Genomic DNA, 17,539 nt, shown 5'->3' on the forward strand with positions numbered 1-17,539 from the left:
GCACAGTATGGCTGTGCATGATGTATTCTTAGTGTAGGCATTATACAAAAATCCTGTGCCATGTGGCAGATAATCTCATTAGAAGAAGAAAAAAAGCCTAAATCGACATGGATCACCTGGTAGTGTCACAGTCTTCTCTATTGCTGGATCTATTTATGCAAAAAACATAAAATCTTCATACCCTCACGTCTATCTACATGTCACACCTGGTTTTGATTTTAATGACTTTCAGACTCTTCAGTGGGAAGGAAATAAATAATAAAAGCAGTGTTATTGAAAAATTCTGGAAATAAAAACATTTTCTGATTATGAATAATACATGTTTATTTTAGAAAATTTGGAAATAAAAAAAAGGATAAACAAGATAAAGTCACCTTAAATACCAGCTCTAAGAGGGATCCATTAACACTTTGAGGTATTTTCTTCCCACAGTTCATGGAAAGTGAAGGCTTCTGAACTGCTTGTTGTTCCTCATTCTTTGTTCCTGATTACTGTAACTGGAACCTTCTTCTGGTCCACCAAATCAGAAACCTTCGGGGTTATCTTGGACTTCCCCTTTCACTCACCCTGTCATCTTTTGGCCCTGTGGGTCCTACCTCTGTGGATTTCCCTGCCCATTCCCTCTGGTTCAACCCCACTCCTATTATTCTAATTCAGTCTCCCTTTCTCTCTTATTTGGAATTCTGCTGCAGCTTTCTGCCCAGTCTTCCTGTACCTAGTCATACCCTCCTCTGCTATATGCACCATTCTGAGACCACCATATTTTTTTTTCCCTAAAAGTTAACCCTATGATGTTGTACTCTTGTTTAAGCCTCTGAAAGCCTCTCTGCTCTCCTTTTCGTGATCTGCCCTGATAAGTTTCTTCTTTCCATCTCTTCCTTAGCCTCACTCTCTGCCTTTTCTCTTTCCATCTCCTCTCCAGCCATCATCTCAGTCACTGTGCTAGCAGTTTCTGGATCATCCTCTTTTTTTGCTTGCACAGTCACACATTCTGTTCCCTGTACCTTTTCTTCTAACCACCTTGAAGTTTCAAACTCCCTGAGGTCTGAGGAATGAAGTAGAAAGACCTTGTGATACTGTATGTTTATTGTAAAAATGTATTTTGAATGACATCTTTCTGTTCCTCCTGTAGAAGTCAGCTTGTCATCACCGACTCTGGGAACACTCCCTAGCCACAAAGACTTAAGTTTCACTTGCTTTGTGTTTCCACAATTTATGGACAACACTTAGACTTTAGGTCAGTAAGTGATCCTGAAGATTTATTCAGGTGACATCCCTGAGAAGCAATATTTTAGGCTGATTTTATTTGGACAGTCAACAATTGATATGGACTATATGTCATATGTCAAGCACTGATCTCTGATTCCTGTGAATTAGACAGACATAATCTTTGCTTTCATGGAGCTTGTAGTCTGGTATAGTCTGATGTAGGCAAGCACTCAATAAGAAGCAATGAATAAGCAAGATAATCTCATGGAGATAATTTGAAGTGATAAATACAGGGTGATGTAATGGCATTGGGTGCAGTTATATGGTTTCAAGTTGACTGAGCTGGTAAGGGCTGTGCTGTAGTACCTACCAGTATATTATCCAGACATATGTCAATCATATTACTAAGTTAACAGCATTTGGTAGTGGAAGCTGTGCATATTTGTTGGGCTAATGGTTTTAGGGTTAAAACCTTATTTGAATGAATAGAGGATATTTAAGATTGGAAAGAAACATGATAGCATTCAAATAATTGAATGACTATATATTAGTACTATAACAAAGAGATTCTGGAACACTCCAGAAGACTGACTGGAGCAAACCAAAAAATAGAAGTTACAGAGGGGTATATTTTAACTTAATATAAGGAACATCTTTTAAATGTTTATGATTTTCTCATCAATAGAATGGATGTGCTGAATCTTTGATAGGGGTTGTATTCAGATACCGGTGATCTGTCAGAGGTGAGTGAGGAAGTTCCTCTAAAGGAGAGCAAAGTAGCCTAGATAGTTTCAGAGATCTCTATTGTGTTACTTTGAGGAAGCTCAACCTAGGAGAAATAGAGGTATCCCGAGAGGAGCAAATTTAGGGCAGAACAGAAAGACCCCACAAAAGAGGTCAATGGAACAAGAGATGATATTTCTCTGGAAAAAGGGCACATAGCAAATATATAAGACTGTTGATTCACCAGCAAAAGAGTCTTCATGCTGATTGGTTGGGAAAAAAAGGAAACAGAAGAAAAAGAGATCAAGAAAAGGAAATGTCTTATTGAAGAAGAGGGACCCTATCAAGTAATTCCAGAATGCTGAATGCTGTCATGCTCTGAATAAATACGGCATCAATTAAAGGGATAAGAGCTTTGATTATAACTTAATGTCTGGCTGAGCTATTTCTTACATCACTGTTTCTTAGGTAATAGTTTTTAGTCTATTATCTAATAGTCCATTAGTACGTTGAATAGTATTCTATAAATGAATCTAGAATAATATGTTTACCTTCCATTTTAGGTATGATATGGCAACTCTTCATTTTCAATACTCACAGTGGTTGATTGAGACATAAATTTATTTGGGCTCAGGCTTGGCTTGGTCAGGAAAACAACAAAGGAAAAAGTTTTTCTTCAGAGCTGCTATGTTTATGCTTTTATGTTGTGGTTGGCATTTTGGCAGCATAGGTATTAAGTTATGTACCACCCAAAACTACTTAAAATTAGTTTTCTCAGGCTTAAAAGAAAGAGACCTTGGTTTTTTAAGACATTGAATAAGCTTTAGTTCAGCAACAACGGGCTGCAGAAACAATGCTTTTAACTTTTATTTGTGTCATATATTTAAGTTACACATTATTTTCGATTCTTCTTGTATTTATTTTTTCCTTCTAGCGAAAACAATTTGGTTCCAGTATTTTAAGTTATTAATGCTTCCTAGAGAACAAGTTTAAGTTTTCCAGTTTAGGAGGAAAAGCATTCAAATCAGAAAACCCCCTCATTTTTAACATTTTTCCCAAGAAGCAGAACAGTCATTTTTTAATCCTCTCATAATGCCCTGGGGGCGTTAGACAGACATTGTCCCTTAAAAAAGAGAAAAATAGGAATTGCATCATGTTTGATAGAAGTATAAGTAACAAGGGAAAAATATGAAACCACAAAAAGTGGATTTATTTTTTTCCTCAATATTTGCATATTTTAGCAAATAGGTTTATTGAGCCTCATTGGTGGAGGGTTGACAAGGATATGTAATGTTATTTTGTCTATTTAACAACTTACAGCTTATTTAAACTCTTTTTCCTAAATGAATCATCTCCCTTTTTTTTTGTCTGAAAGGTGACAGTATATTTATTATGGTCCATTTTGTAAATACCCGCTTGCAAATAGACCTCTTCATACCTGGGTGTGCCTCTTTGGAGACATGCAGAAGAAACCCTCCCAATGTGAATTACTTCTTGACTTTGCAGACTTAAGATGAAATTGCTTAAAATAAAAGGAAAAATAAAAATACACTGCTTGTTTTAGTGTACATTTGGAAGGTTACAAAAATTGGATTAAATATTGATGTTTGCTTTTAGGTATTTTTGTCTTTTAATTGGCAAGTTAATAGGGATACTTTCTTGGGTGAGATCATTTTCTGTGAACTTGGGAAGAATCAGTTTGCTTGTTCGCTGGTGGACACATGGAAAATACATCATTGGAGCATATGTTGTTTATTTTTTTATTATGAAATATTTTAGCAATTCAGAAAAATATGAATAATAAATTTAATAAATACTCATCTACTCATTATATGTTTATGTTTTGTCTTACCTCAGGACTCATTTTTTTTTTAAGCAATAAGGCATTTAAAATATAGTTGAAGTGCTCTTTGTAAAATTTCACTCACTGTCCAGAGTTAGCCATTATCCTGAGTTGAATGTGGTGTTTACCATTCCCATTTATCTATTCTTTTAAATATAAAATATTTATTCATAAATATTACGATATTATTTCATATGTTCTTGAACTTTATATATGTGGTATATTATATAAATCATTTTTGATTTTATTATGTCATTAATTTACTGTAAGTATTGAGGTGTATCCATTTTGACATATATAGCTCTAGGTCCGTTGTATTAATTGCTGTGTATTATTCTAATATATAAACTGCTACAGTTTTCACATATTCATTCTCCTGTTGATGGACATCTAGACTGTTTCCAGAATTTCTGTTCTACATTGTCTTGCTGTTAATATTTTTGTGATTTTTCTCAAGAAGATGTTGGGGAATTTCTCTAGGAGTGGAATTGTTGGGTCACTTACTAGTTTCCTATTGCTACTGAAACAAATTATCCTAAGTGTGCTGGCTTGAAACAACAGAAATGTATTATCTTCGAGTTCTATAGATGAGAAATCTGACATGGTTCACACTGGGCTACACTCACGGTATCCGCAGGGCTGTGTTTCTTCTGGAACCTGTAGGGAAGAATCCATTTGCTTTCCTTTTTTGGCTTCTAGAGAGTGCTCACATTCCTTGGATCATGGTCTCTCTCCTGCATCTTCAGCAGGACTGAAGAACCAGCACTGCTGCATCGACTATTATTCCATAGGCACATCTCCACTTCTGCCTGACTGTATTCTGCCTCTCCCTTCTACTTTATTTATTTATTTATTTTTGAGATGGAGTCTTGCTTTTGTCACTCAGGCTGGAGTGCAATGGTGTGATCTTGGCTAACTGCAACCTCCGCCTCCCGGGCTCATGCGATTCCCCCACCTCAGCCTCCTGAGTAGCTGGGATTACAGGCGCTCGCCACCACGCCCAGCTAATTTTTTTTGTATTTTTAGTAGAGATGGGATTTCACCATGTTGGCCAGGCTGGTCTCGAACTCCTGACCTCAGGTGATCCTCCCTCATTGGCCTCCCAAAGTGCTGGGATTACAGGTGTGAGCCACCACATCTGGCCTCTCCCTTCCACTTTTTAGAATCCTTGTGAATGCGTTGGGCCATTCTGAATAATCCAGGATAATCTTATGATTTTAGGTCATTTTATTAGCAACCTAAATTCTACCTGCAACCTTAATTCCCCTTGGCATATGAGGTAATATAATCAAAGGTTCTGGGGATATGGTCATGAATATCTTTGCAGGGGGAGGGTATTGTACCTACACAGATCATAGGGTGTCATACATTGTCCACTTGACAGGATAGTTTTAAATTGCTATTTTAAATGGTGTGTGCATTTATACTGTCTCTGAAAGTGTATGAAAATTTTAACTGTTCCATATCCTTGCCAACGTGAGGATTATAAGACTTTAAGATGTTACCCAATTGGATGGATGTGTTTTGGTATCTCATTGAGCATCTTTCCATATAATTATTAGCTGCTGAAATTGTCTTTTTTATTTATTGCCTGCTTCTGTCCTTTTCTTATTTCTAAATTGTTCTTTGTTTTGTTTTCTTACTCGTTTATACATAAGAAAAAAGAAAAGAAAAAATAATTAGTAGTTAATTATAATATTTAACAACATATTAATTCTTATAATAATTAATAATTTTTTCTTTTTTTTTTTTTGTTTAGAGTCAGGGTCTCACCGTGTCACTCAGGTTGGAGTGCAGTGGTGTGATCATAACTCACTGTAGCCTTGGCCTCCTGGGCTTAAATGTTCCTCCCACCTCTGCCTCCTGAGTAACTGGGACTACAGGCACGTACCACCATGCATGGCTAAGGTTTTTTATTTATTTATTATTTATTATTTATTATTATTTTTTTTTGAGACAGAGTCTCAGTCTGTCGCCCAGGCTGGAGTGCAGTGGCTTGATCTCGGCTCACTGCAGGCTTCGCCTCCCGGGTTCACGCCATTCTCCCGCCTCAGCCTCCCAAGTAGCTGGGACTATAGGTGCCCACCACCACGCCCAACTAATTTAGTTTTTGTATTTTTAGTAGAGACAGGGTTTCACTGTGTTAGCCAGGATGGTCTCGATCTCCTGACCTTGTGATCTGCCCGCCTTGGCCTCCCAAAGTGCTGGGATTACAGGCATAAGCCACTGCGCCCAGCCCAGTTTTTCATTTTTTTAAATTTGTGGAAATGGCGTCTTGCTATTTTTGCCCAGGCTGATCTTGAACTCCTGGTCTCAAGTGATACTCCCGCCTCAGCCTCCCCAAATTCTGGGATTACAGGTGTAATCTAAAGTGCTCAGCCATAATCCCATTACTAATTCTTGTTGGTTATTTGCATTCCCATATTTTTCCTAGTGTGATTTGTCTTTGCACTTTATTAGGGTTTTTTTTTTTTTTTAAGTGCACAAATATTTTAATTCAAAGTCGGCACGTTCTGCCATTTCCTACTTGAAGTAAGATATCCCTCTTCATTTTTAAATAAAGAGCACCATTATACATTGAAATAATTTTATTTGTATCTAGATATATATGTTTCTATTTTTTTTTTGAGATGTAGCAACAAAACAGTCTGATTTATTAGGTTGGTCCAGTTTTATATAGGCCGCAATTGAGAACTGTGTAATTTAAAGAGTGATGGGTTTATAAAATGTTATTGCTAGCAAAAACTTTAGAGATGATCTGGTCTGAAACTGATGTCCAGAGAGACAGGGAATGGCGATTCTAGAAGCGCTTGTATTGACAAAGTGAATTGCATACACACTGCAATATTATCTTCGTTGGCTAAGGGACTCTGCCTTACCTTGAAAAGCATGATTATAAAAATAATAACTGGACATCAATTTTGCTGAGAATCTTCTCTTATCTCTGGAGTGCATATTTTCTATTGTAAGGCTTTTGTCACAAACATACCTCTACTGTGAGCCAGGTCCCAAAAGGGACCCTTACTTTAGCAAAGTCCCACAACTTTTCTGTCTGGGTATTCATCCACATCACTCTCTGTTCCAACACTGCTACTCCTCCAACTCACTAAACAGGTTTTATTTTCCCAATATCACTCGATTCTCAGACTCTTGAAGATCAGAGATAAAATTAAGTGCATCTTTTATGCCCAAAATAAGTGTGTCAAGATTTTTTCACTATTTTTTTCTTAAGGAAGTATTGCAGAGGAACTTAAGAGTGAGTGACAGTTGACAAAAAGAAATGGTTGCCTGGAAACTGGCAATTTAAATAACTAGGAGCTGATATGATTTACCAGCCTGATAAACAGCTAGGACTTTAATACAATCTAAAGGGCTGCTACAGATGTTGGATTGAGCTATTTATATGTGTTAATCTGTCTCAGTCTATTTTAATACATGCATATATATATGCATTTTTTTTTTGCAGAACTGGAATATAAAAGCAAAGGCTGTATCTCTTCCCCTATATGACATTAATAGAAATAATAGAAATTGCCTTCAATTAAATGAATTGTTTTGGTCCCCTTGTTTTTATATAGATTTTCAGTTTCAAAGGTGGCTTTCTCACTCAGGGGGAATAGATGTCTTGTGGATTGAGTGCGGAGTTTGTTTTGAGTTCTGACACTGTAATTATATACTTAGTAATTGTTACCTTGTTTTTTCAGGTTTTATCATTTGAAACTTTACTCCATTTGTTGAGATGGAGTTGCAGATACTTTTGATTCTTCACAGGAATAATGAGGTTTAATAGGATTGGTTCTGAGTGAGTTAGCTTAATCAAGTAGCCTGTTTTACTGATGGGATCATTAAGAGGCTTTATCCTCTCATGGGCCAGTTAGTTTCCTGGAGCAGGTGAATGTCTTTGCAGCCTCCTTGATCCTCACTAGACATCTTTCACATGGTTCTTCGAAGAGATGATAGAAAAGCTGCAGCCTATATTGTACTGTAATCATAGTATAGTAACCCAGAGTTCCCTCTTCTGGCAGGAGGTCAGTACTATCATTTTGTGTATAAATAACTGATGGCATATTTGTGAAGCTGTCTGTATAAAATTCCACTATCTCCTTGGGAATGGAATGTGCTACATACAACAAACTATCATCATGTTACTAGCATAAAACTTGAGATAATTTTGAGGATAATTTTGACAGTGGAAATGTTTTATGATATGAGGAATATAAAAATAGATCATTTAATTCACAGAATAGTTGAAGGACACAGCAAGGTAATTTTTAAATTGTTTCTTGCAATTGTTTACAATTCACTGAGCGTAGTAGCTATGACTTGGAGAACTTCTGGGAAAGGAGGACATTTTTACCACCCATGCATGTTTGAATAAATTTCAGTCTCCTAAAGCTGTGCACCAGCTCTTTCATGTATCTTCCCTTCTACCTCTAATCACAGTGAGAACTCCCTACTCCTAATTCCTGTAGCACTTGTGCTGTCCCATTTTTTTTTTTTTAAAGAAAATAGCTATCAGGGCTGCAGTGTTTCACAATTTGAGGGGCAGTTTGTAACACAGAGGCCCTGAATGTCATAATGTCTCACATATATTGAGCAGTATGCTAAGTATTTTAAATATATTATCACTCATCCCTAGTGACCCTGCAAGTAACTATTAGAGCCAGCAACTTACCAGTGAGGAAACTGAAGGTCAGAATGGTAAATAATTTGCCTGTGAAAATACGGCAATTGGAATTTGCATTAAGGTCAGCCAGACTCCAAAGTCAGGGTTCTTTTCCTTGTTCTGCTCTCTATATATGTTTGTTATTTTGTTTCTTAATTGTTCATATGCATATGTTGTTTCTCTTGTGCTTCTCATACTTTAGCTTAGTTAAGAATCACCATGGAAACTTGTTTAAAATGCTGTTTCTGGGCCCTTGTCCTAAAGATTCTGATTCAGAAGGTCTCAGATAAGTCCTGAGTGTCTGCATCTGCATTTTCTGAGGGGTTCTTGGACTGTACTCTGAGAAATCACTGGTATGAAATCTGGGAGACAGGAGCTATCTGAACAACTCCCCCAGCTCTGAACATTCATAGCAAGCACTCAATAAGTACATGTTACATTCAAGCAGAGCTAACTTGCTCCTGTGCAAAATATAGCCCACAAGGTTCCATAGCATGAACTTGGATTGTTCTTAACTTGAATATAAAGTTTGTGTAAGTTAGAAAAGTCAATACTAATTATAGGGTGAAGTTCAAAGAACAATATCTGATATGATTCATTTTTTACAAATTGGTGTATTCTGGAAATTTAGGTGTATCCTAAATTAGGTGTATTGGTGTGTTTTCACAAGGAAGTTTCTGTAGACAAAGGAACAGCATTGGCTAGAAAAGAACCAGAGAGGGACGGAATTGAAGTTAGTTGTAGGTATAAAGTAGGGTTCTTTGGAAGGGGAGGAGGAGATGGAGATAAAGATGGGAGATGAGGTTGGTTCAACTCATTAGTGAAGGTAAGTTCTTTGGAAAGGGGCCAAATAACCAGTGGCCTAATCAATTGCAAGGGATTCTGGAGAAACCTAGTAGAAAAGAGGGTCACAGATGTGTTAGCGGTGAAAAGAATTGGACCAAACGCACAGACAAAGCAAGGAAAGAATAAAGTGACAACAGCAGAGATTTGCTGAAAATGAAAGTACACTCCACGGGGTGGGAGTGGCCTGAGCATAGGGGCTCAAGAGCCCTGTTATGGAATTTTCTGGGGTCAAATACCCTCTAGAGGTTTCCCATTGGTTACTTGATATACACCCTATGTAAATGAAGTAGCAGCCCACGACCAGTCTGATTGGTTGCAGAAAGTGACCAATCAGAGGCTGAAGTGAAGTTATAAAGTTCTGTACAAATGAAGACTTGGCCCTCTACCAGCCTGATTGGTTGTGGGAGGGGTCCAATTAGAGGTACTTTCAATTCCTCATCTGCCCTGCAGAAAAAGGTGGGGAGGGTTGCAAAGGGAGTAGCCTTTGGTCCTTTCGTTACTTGAGCATGGAAACTTGGGGTTTTCCTTTTGATTTAGTTCTAGGAAGTCAGTGCAAATCGGCTTTAGGGTCCCTGCCTCTAGAACCTATTCTCCTGCCTCAGATGGAGGGATAAGGAGTAAACAGAATCAGTGCCAATGTGGGTCTTGGCTGGGGAGGGTGCCATGTACCTCACATCTTTGGGCAATGGCCCTGGTGACTTAAGACTCATACTGGTTTCCTTCTACATTGTGTGGGTATTTTCTGTTATCACTTCTTCACCTGAGGGGCACATCTGCTTGTGCCTAGAGATGTGTCTTGGCTGGCTTAAAATTGTATGGACTGCTAGCAACAGGTAGAACAGTGAGTAAAACGATCAGTGATATCCTTCCCAAAATAGAGGGACCTTAAGGTCTATTGAAATTCCCAAGCCAATCTGTTAAAACATATTCAAGTTCTGTATAGAAAGATCTATACAATATCCGGGGAATAGACTTCATGCTTCCCTTCACATTTCTATAAAATGATACTTGTTTCTAACTTACAGTTTTTTTTTCTATTCGAATGTTTTTCTTTCTATTAACATCCAAGTGATTTTTTTATATAGCTAACACGAGTGAAAGATTAAAGTAAACATGGTATATTCACAAGCAAAGGATAGCACAGTATATTTCCTTAGAGTACACATTTGCCTTCTAAAAGAAAGAAAAAGAATGAAAAAAAGCTTTAGTAATTAGATACCTGCTGTAACCCTAGTGGAGTGAGAAAGATGAATAGTTGTGCTGCAGGACTCTGTGCCACAGTGAGAGGCACTATGTGTCACTGTTTTCTCTTGGGATGAAATTTGGCCTGAAGTAAAATAAAATTTCTGTAATGATAATAACAGCCAATGTTTTTGAGCACCTTCACCTTACCAATGATTACTTTACATTTATTTCCTTCAAGCCTCACAATGACCTCATAAGTTAAATAATTCATGTTTAAGCAACTGAGGCTCAGAGAGGTTAATTGACTTCCAGACCGCCTAGCTAGTGAAACATTTTACAAGAGCACTTTGCTCAACGTGGGGATTATCAGATCTTCAAGAGTTGAGTTGCAGCATTAAAGAAATGTGATTAAAGAAATCACAGAATTTTAAAAAATGTACACAATATTGAAGCTTGAAAAAGAGAATCATATCACTCTTAATTACAATGATGGCTAAAGGTCTTTTGTGTTTGGCTAGCTGATCATAACCCATGCCTCCACGCAGGTGAGGTAGTAGACCAGGGGAGACGGGTTCTTTTCAACATGCTTGGTCGGCAGTTTTCTGCAGGGAAGGTTATAGCGTGTGAGTTACAAAGCCCTCCTGCTGCACAGGTATCAGAGGTTGTCTGTTACAAGTTCCTTCACTTCGACTATTACTTCCTTTTCACAATTCTATTTTGGACTTCTGTCCAGTGTGTATTTACAGGTAGACAAAGCTTTTTTTCTTTCTTTCTTTCTTTCTTTTTTTTTTTTTAACAACCTCTTTGCCATGACTGAAAAGAAGCCTGTATATCCTGCAGTTTCTGGGCATTGTGAGTCTCCTTTTAAACTCAAATTGGTGATAATGGTGACTGTGACTCCCTATTGTCCAAGGAGGGGAGTTGCAGATAGGGCCTTCAAAGATGATCCAATAAAAATCAGTGCAGTAAGACTTTTTGATAAAATGATCTTTATGATGTAGAGGCATTTGGAATATGGGTTGGGTACTGGATACCCTGGGGCTAAGCCCAGTGTTTAAAAATCAAGGCTTACTACGAAAAGGTCTGTTTTTATTAGTGCAGGTACTGTAGTTGGCAAGATTTCTTCTTATGAAATGCAATATCCAGCAGACCATTCCTGATTATGTTATGTATTTTTAGATGTTACCATTGAGTTATATTTATAGTATAGACTACTGAATCTTATCTTAAATATGCAAAATATATGCATAACTAACCTCCCAAGCTGCGTTCCCTGCTCTATATTACACCCAACAATGTAGCCTGTTCTTAAATGGTTCTCCTAAAAGTCTTAGAATGGAGCTTATTATTTGCTTTTAAAATGTAAGCACAGAGACTGTGTGTTAGATGTGTGGCCTTCTGGGTGACATGTTCTGCTCCTAGATACTCTAAGGGTGAAGTCAGCAAACCTTTGGCAGTGCAGGTGGGGAGTGAAACCAATAGTCTTGCATAGATAACTCCCCAGAGTCCAGAATGAGCCAAAAGTAATTGATATGCCAGTCTTTGCCAGCATGTTTGGTGAATCAGAGCAGCAGGTGTCTGTTACGGTATTGGGGAAGGTTAAATCACCGACTGCATTGCTGATGTGGCTCTTGCTTGTGCCCATCAGCTTCCCAGTCCCCAGAACCCCCAGAGTCCTAGACTCTCATCATTCTATTCCTCAGGACAACATAAATATTATCAGGAGCACTGTGAGCACAGTCCTGCTTCTGCTACTTAAAGTTGAAGGGAAACGAGTATCCTTACATCTCTGTATCCCATGTTCCCCTGTCTTCATGAATAAGTGGTTTGATTGTTTTGAGGCCAACTTGAGTTTATAGAGCTTGTCTAATAAAAAGATGGATGTCCTTGGGGAAAAAAAGCTGAGGCTAATAAGGTGAGAGAGAAACGGAATCCTTTCAATGAGCTAAGAAATTACTTCAATTGAAAAGCCTGGGAAGTGACCCTATCTTGGTCAACATATTTCATGGGCAAGGTCTGGGGATGTCTGGTGTCTTCCCAACCCATGAAGGCACCCATCCCACCTGGGTTTGCCCTTTCTAGATGGTGGCCCATCTCAAGGATATTTTTCTTTCTTTCTCTGATCCAAATCCAAGGACTATGTTCTAGTCCTTCAGAAATCTATACTAACAAACTGGATAAGTGATTCTGCCTCAAAGTTGCATAACTACAGAATCATTGGTCAAGTTCTTACTGCCTGCTCACTTATTCATCAGGAACTTATTGTGTACCTGCCATGTATCAGGTACTCTACTAGGTGTGGGGGTTACAAAGATGAATGTAGTGCAGTCCCTGAACTGAAGAACATAGTCTCATCATGGATGAAAGTACTCCACTAACATAAGATACATTATTATTGTCTAACATATGTGATGTTATTATGGGTATGGTACAAGATACAGTGGAAACAGAGATGAGAAAGCTGATCTTTTACTTGGAGTGGTTGGCTAAGAATTCTCATTTCAGTATGGCTTTAAAGAATTCAAGATACGGCTGGGTGTGGTGGCTCACACCTGTAATCCCAGCACTTTGTGAGGCTGAGGCAGGACGATAGGGATAAATTGTTTCTATAAAAAAAGTAAAAATGTTAGGTGGGCGTGGTGGCACACGCCTGTAGTCCCAGCTACTCAGGAGGCTAAGGTGGGAGGATCACTTGAGCCTCGGAGGTTGAAGCTGCAGTGAGCTGTGATCACGTGAGACAAACTGATACCCTATCTCAAAAACCAACCAACCAGAAAAACCCCAAGAATTCAAGGTGGGAGATGCAGAAAAGGTAATAGTATCCTTTGCAGACAGAGACACAAAAGCATGGACACGCGAATGATACTGTGCAGGAATAGTCAGGACTCATAGTCAGCTGATATGTTTTAGTAAGGCTCCACCAGTGCTTATACAGGTGTTCATTCTGAGTAGCCTGTGCCTCGGTAGTAGCTAATAATGTTGAACATCACTCTAGGAGTAATCACAGATTGCCTGAAACCATAGGGGTTATACATGAGGGAAAGAAGGAAGAAGAAAAAGTGGGATGAAAGGAGACCAGTTATGAAGGCACTTGAATACCAACTAAGGAGCTGTGTGTCACCAAATTGTAGTTACTGACTCATTCATTTATTTATACATTCCCTGGAGGCAGGGATACCAGATAGAAGACTAGATTAAGAATCCAATCAAGAACAAACAATTAATTGAGCTAAGGCAGTATTAATTGAAATGGAAAGGAGGATTCAGATAAGAAAGATATTTTTAAGAGGTCAGTGTTCTGACTCTGGTGACTGTCTATGGTAAAAGCAAGAAACAGAGAAATGAAATAGAATCTAAGGTTTCCATATTGGGTAACAGTGTGTCTTGTATGTGCTCAGTAAGGGTTGTTGAATTGAACACAATGTTAAGAGCGGTTTTCTAATGCTTTTCTCCAAAGTTGAAATTACAGCAGAATTTCAGGTTCTAAGGCATGAGAGAGAGAGAGAGAGAGAGAGAGAGAGAGAGAGAGAGAGAGAGAGACTGAGGATCTGATGAATCTCTTGGTGTTCAACGTGTTGGCACAGTAAGCATTTCCCACCAATAAATGATCTGTATAGTGATTGTGATAAACTGAGTTTTTGAAGGATACTCTATGGAGGAACCATGGTTAATGTCTCAATTTGAGAAGAGAAGGACCTGCAGATAAGTGTGAATGGCTGTGTAGACTGAACTGTACATTTTGGCTTGCCCTAGCCATGAGAAAGATATATCAGATTTAAATAGACAAGGTTTTTGTTACCTACATAGACTATAAAAGCGTTCTGCTTTTTTAGTAGCACACTATCCAAAATAATACTAATTACCCAAAAGTGGGGAAAAAAGACAACTGTAATAAGCTCAGAGTATAGTTAAAAACCAAAATGATTATTGTGATGTTCAAGGAACATGAAGTCTAAGTCAAATTTGAAAGCTTCTGTTGTGAGTTGATTTGTAGACTTTTATGGCAAATTTTGGATTCATTGTATCATGTTTTGTGACTGAGTTTGATCTATTCAATGGCTTGACAGGTCCTTTAGTAAAGAAGACCTGTATCTCAATGAGCCATTACTGAAGTTGTAATGAGTAGATAGGCAATGTCTTGATGTTCATACAGCTCTGCTCAAGTGGTCTGTAATTCCTTGCAATGCCGCGAAGAAAGCACTGGGCTAAGAGTTACAGGATCAGCCCTCCATTTGCCAGCCACATATCTGTAAACAAATCCCTGAACCTCTTTACACCTCAGATGCCTTGTTTGTAAAATGGGAATAATAACAGCTGATTCGGTATAACCCAAAGGGCTGTTGTGAAGATCAGAAGAGATACTCCATGTGCAATTTCTTTGTGACATATAAAGCTCTGCTGACTTGTGATGCTATTACTATTGAGAAGGCCACATAGGTGGAATGGTTAAAGGACCTATGGAAGACCACTACGTATGATGTTAAGGACAGTAATAGGCTGGGACAGTGAAATGTGGTAGTGCCCTCTCTTTTTTCTGGCTGCATGGGTAAGCTGAGACTGCAGGATGTCACTGTCTTGAGTTGTTGCTCCGTGCTACATCTGAATATATTACAGTAGTAACGTACTTTCAGAGAGCTGACAAAATTGTAGTCAGAGATGATCTTTTTGAAGCAAAGGACTCTTAGTCTTTTATTGTGGATTTATGTAGCTCAAGGGATATAGTTAAGAACCAAAATAACCATTCCTGGATCTTAAGAGACAAAGGATTCATAGCAGCAGTTGTTTTTGCTGCACTTGTGTTTATCTCCTTAAATGTGCACGAATATGTATATGTTTTTTACAGCATGGGGAAACTCATGTTAAAATTCATTGAAACCATTAATTGGAAGCAGATATACTTCTATTACATGTTTTGATAATCTGTATTTACAAACAATTTGTATTATTTTTCTATTCTTTTTTGTTATCTACCTACCTGAAGGCGAGTTTCCTATTATTTCTAGTTCAGGCTTATAAGAATGACTAATATATGAGGGGAACTTCTAAACAGTCTATTACTCTGCAGCCCATTTGGATAAAGAAGTGTGGGAAGATTTGAGAATAAGTTCCCTATTGTCATCAACACATGTTGACCACTGACCCTTCTTTCTTTTCCAGGCAACTTAAAGTGGTCTTAATTTGTATAAAATTATATATCAATTTTGTCCCTAAAAGGTGTGGATCAGGCTGCTAATCTGATTTTGTGGGTGTGAGGAGAGGGAAGCATATATAGCCTATGATGTATGAATACATGTGATGTGCACATATGTACAGCAGATCCATATCCCTGAAACATTTTAGGAGAACTCCTTAAATGACCATATTCTACTTGTGCAGCTGTGGCAGTAATGATAACTTTGGTTTAATATGGATTATTGGAAATGGAAATGCAATAAATGGAAACTAGTGTATATCAATATAGAAATGCCTATTCATTTTCATTAAAAGAGTATTCAGATAACATTTTCATAAATGTTAGACCAATGTGTCATGTGGAGGCAGTTATTAAAAAGACTGAAGGCAAGGGGAGTTGTTTAACTTTAAAAAAGACTTGATATTTGTAAGTCAAATTTATATTTCCATCCCAGATTTACTCTGCAACTCAGGTTTGGAGCTGTGAAGTCAAAACCCAACTATTACATGCCCAGCCACAAATCAGCATGTCATGGAGAGTTGTTGTGTGTGTTTTTGTGGAAATAAGTGGGAGAAGTTAACTGCTGTTGAATTGTTGGAAATTATTGGTTAAATTTGAGTTATATTTGCAAATACACAAGTATCAATTGTGCAAAGTGACGTTAAAGATGAAAAAGATTTTTTAAAAATCACACTAACTATGCCCTTGATGGAAGTTACCTTTCAGAGCTGCTTCACTTACATTCTCTAAAGGTTTCCTGTTGCTTTCTATTCGTTATTCTTAATTTAAAATCAAATTGTGCCATTGAGAATCAAGAATGTATCAAGAGCATTTACAAAATGTTTCAGACTACAATGTAAAAAAGTAAGAATGACTAAATCTTGAAGCTCACACTTGTCAATTTAGGATAGTCTATAAATTCAAATTCAAGTAAATTTAACTTTTATTTTATTTACTTTTAATTATGAAGCAGATAGCATCTCAGTTTTCTCACCTATTAGGTCCAGGGTGAGAGGAGAGAGTTACAAGTTATCTATTAGCATGGTTCTTATGAAAGTAATATCAGATATGGTGGCATGTCTAAAAGCACTTTGTAACTATAAAGAACAGTGTGAGCAATGTTTGTATTTATTATTATTATTATTTTTGACACAGAGATTTGCTTTTGTTGCCCAGGCTGGAGTGGAGTGGCACTATCTTGGCCCACTGCAACCTCTGCCTCCCGGGTTCAAGTGATTCTCCTGCTTCAGCCTCCTGAATAGCTGGGATTACAGGCGCCCACCACCATGCCTGGCTAATTTTTTGTATTTTTAGTAGAGATGGGGTTTCACAATCTTGGCCAGGCTGGTCTCAAACTCCTGACCTCAAGTGATGCACCCACCTTGGTCTCCCAAAGGGTGATATTATTATTATAGTAAATATCACATTGAACAATTTTTATCTAAAACTAATGTCAGAATGTCCATTTCTTGATATAAAAATAAAAAAGTTTGCTTTTCATTTTTATCTTTCTGTAGAGATGTTGCTTTCTCATTGACACAGAAATCAAGACTGTTCAGATGATGTTAATAAAACAGCACATCAATATAATTTTTGAAGGAGATTTATAAAAATGTACATTTTAATTGTCATTAAATCTTAATACTTATTGAGCACCAAGGATGTGATGAGAAGTAGCCTGCTAGGTCTAATGACACTACTTAGCTGTTTGAATAACTAAATAGCACATTTCTATTTAGAGACCATATAAGTATTATAGGTATTCTTGGTGATGTTATAAAGTTCTTCAAAGAAAATATGTATTTATATCTGGCTTTATATATTGGGGCAAAAATAGCAATAACACTTTCAAAATAGTGACGGAAAAACGAGTCACAATAAATACGTTGGATTC

The 17,539-nt window shown here is 37.6% G+C and overlaps 1 protein-coding gene across 7 annotated transcripts in view, besides 1 other annotated feature; it reads left to right on the plus strand.

The window, feature by feature from the left end:
- HDAC9 (histone deacetylase 9) overlaps positions 1-17,539 on the plus strand; it is a 915,592-nt gene that overhangs the window by 57,016 nt on the left and 841,037 nt on the right. The window lies entirely within an intron of this gene.
- Positions 433-633: a silencer, noted in NCBI's record as "peak6415 fragment used in MPRA reporter construct". NCBI's record gives its function as "represses an SCP1 promoter by STARR-seq MPRAs in K562 erythroleukemia cells {active_cell/tissue: K562}" and the evidence as "EXISTENCE:reporter gene assay evidence [ECO:0000049][PMID:32103011]".

This window comes from Homo sapiens, chromosome 7, assembly GCF_000001405.40.
Source record: "Homo sapiens chromosome 7, GRCh38.p14 Primary Assembly".
Taxonomy (NCBI): Eukaryota; Metazoa; Chordata; class Mammalia; order Primates; family Hominidae; genus Homo; species Homo sapiens.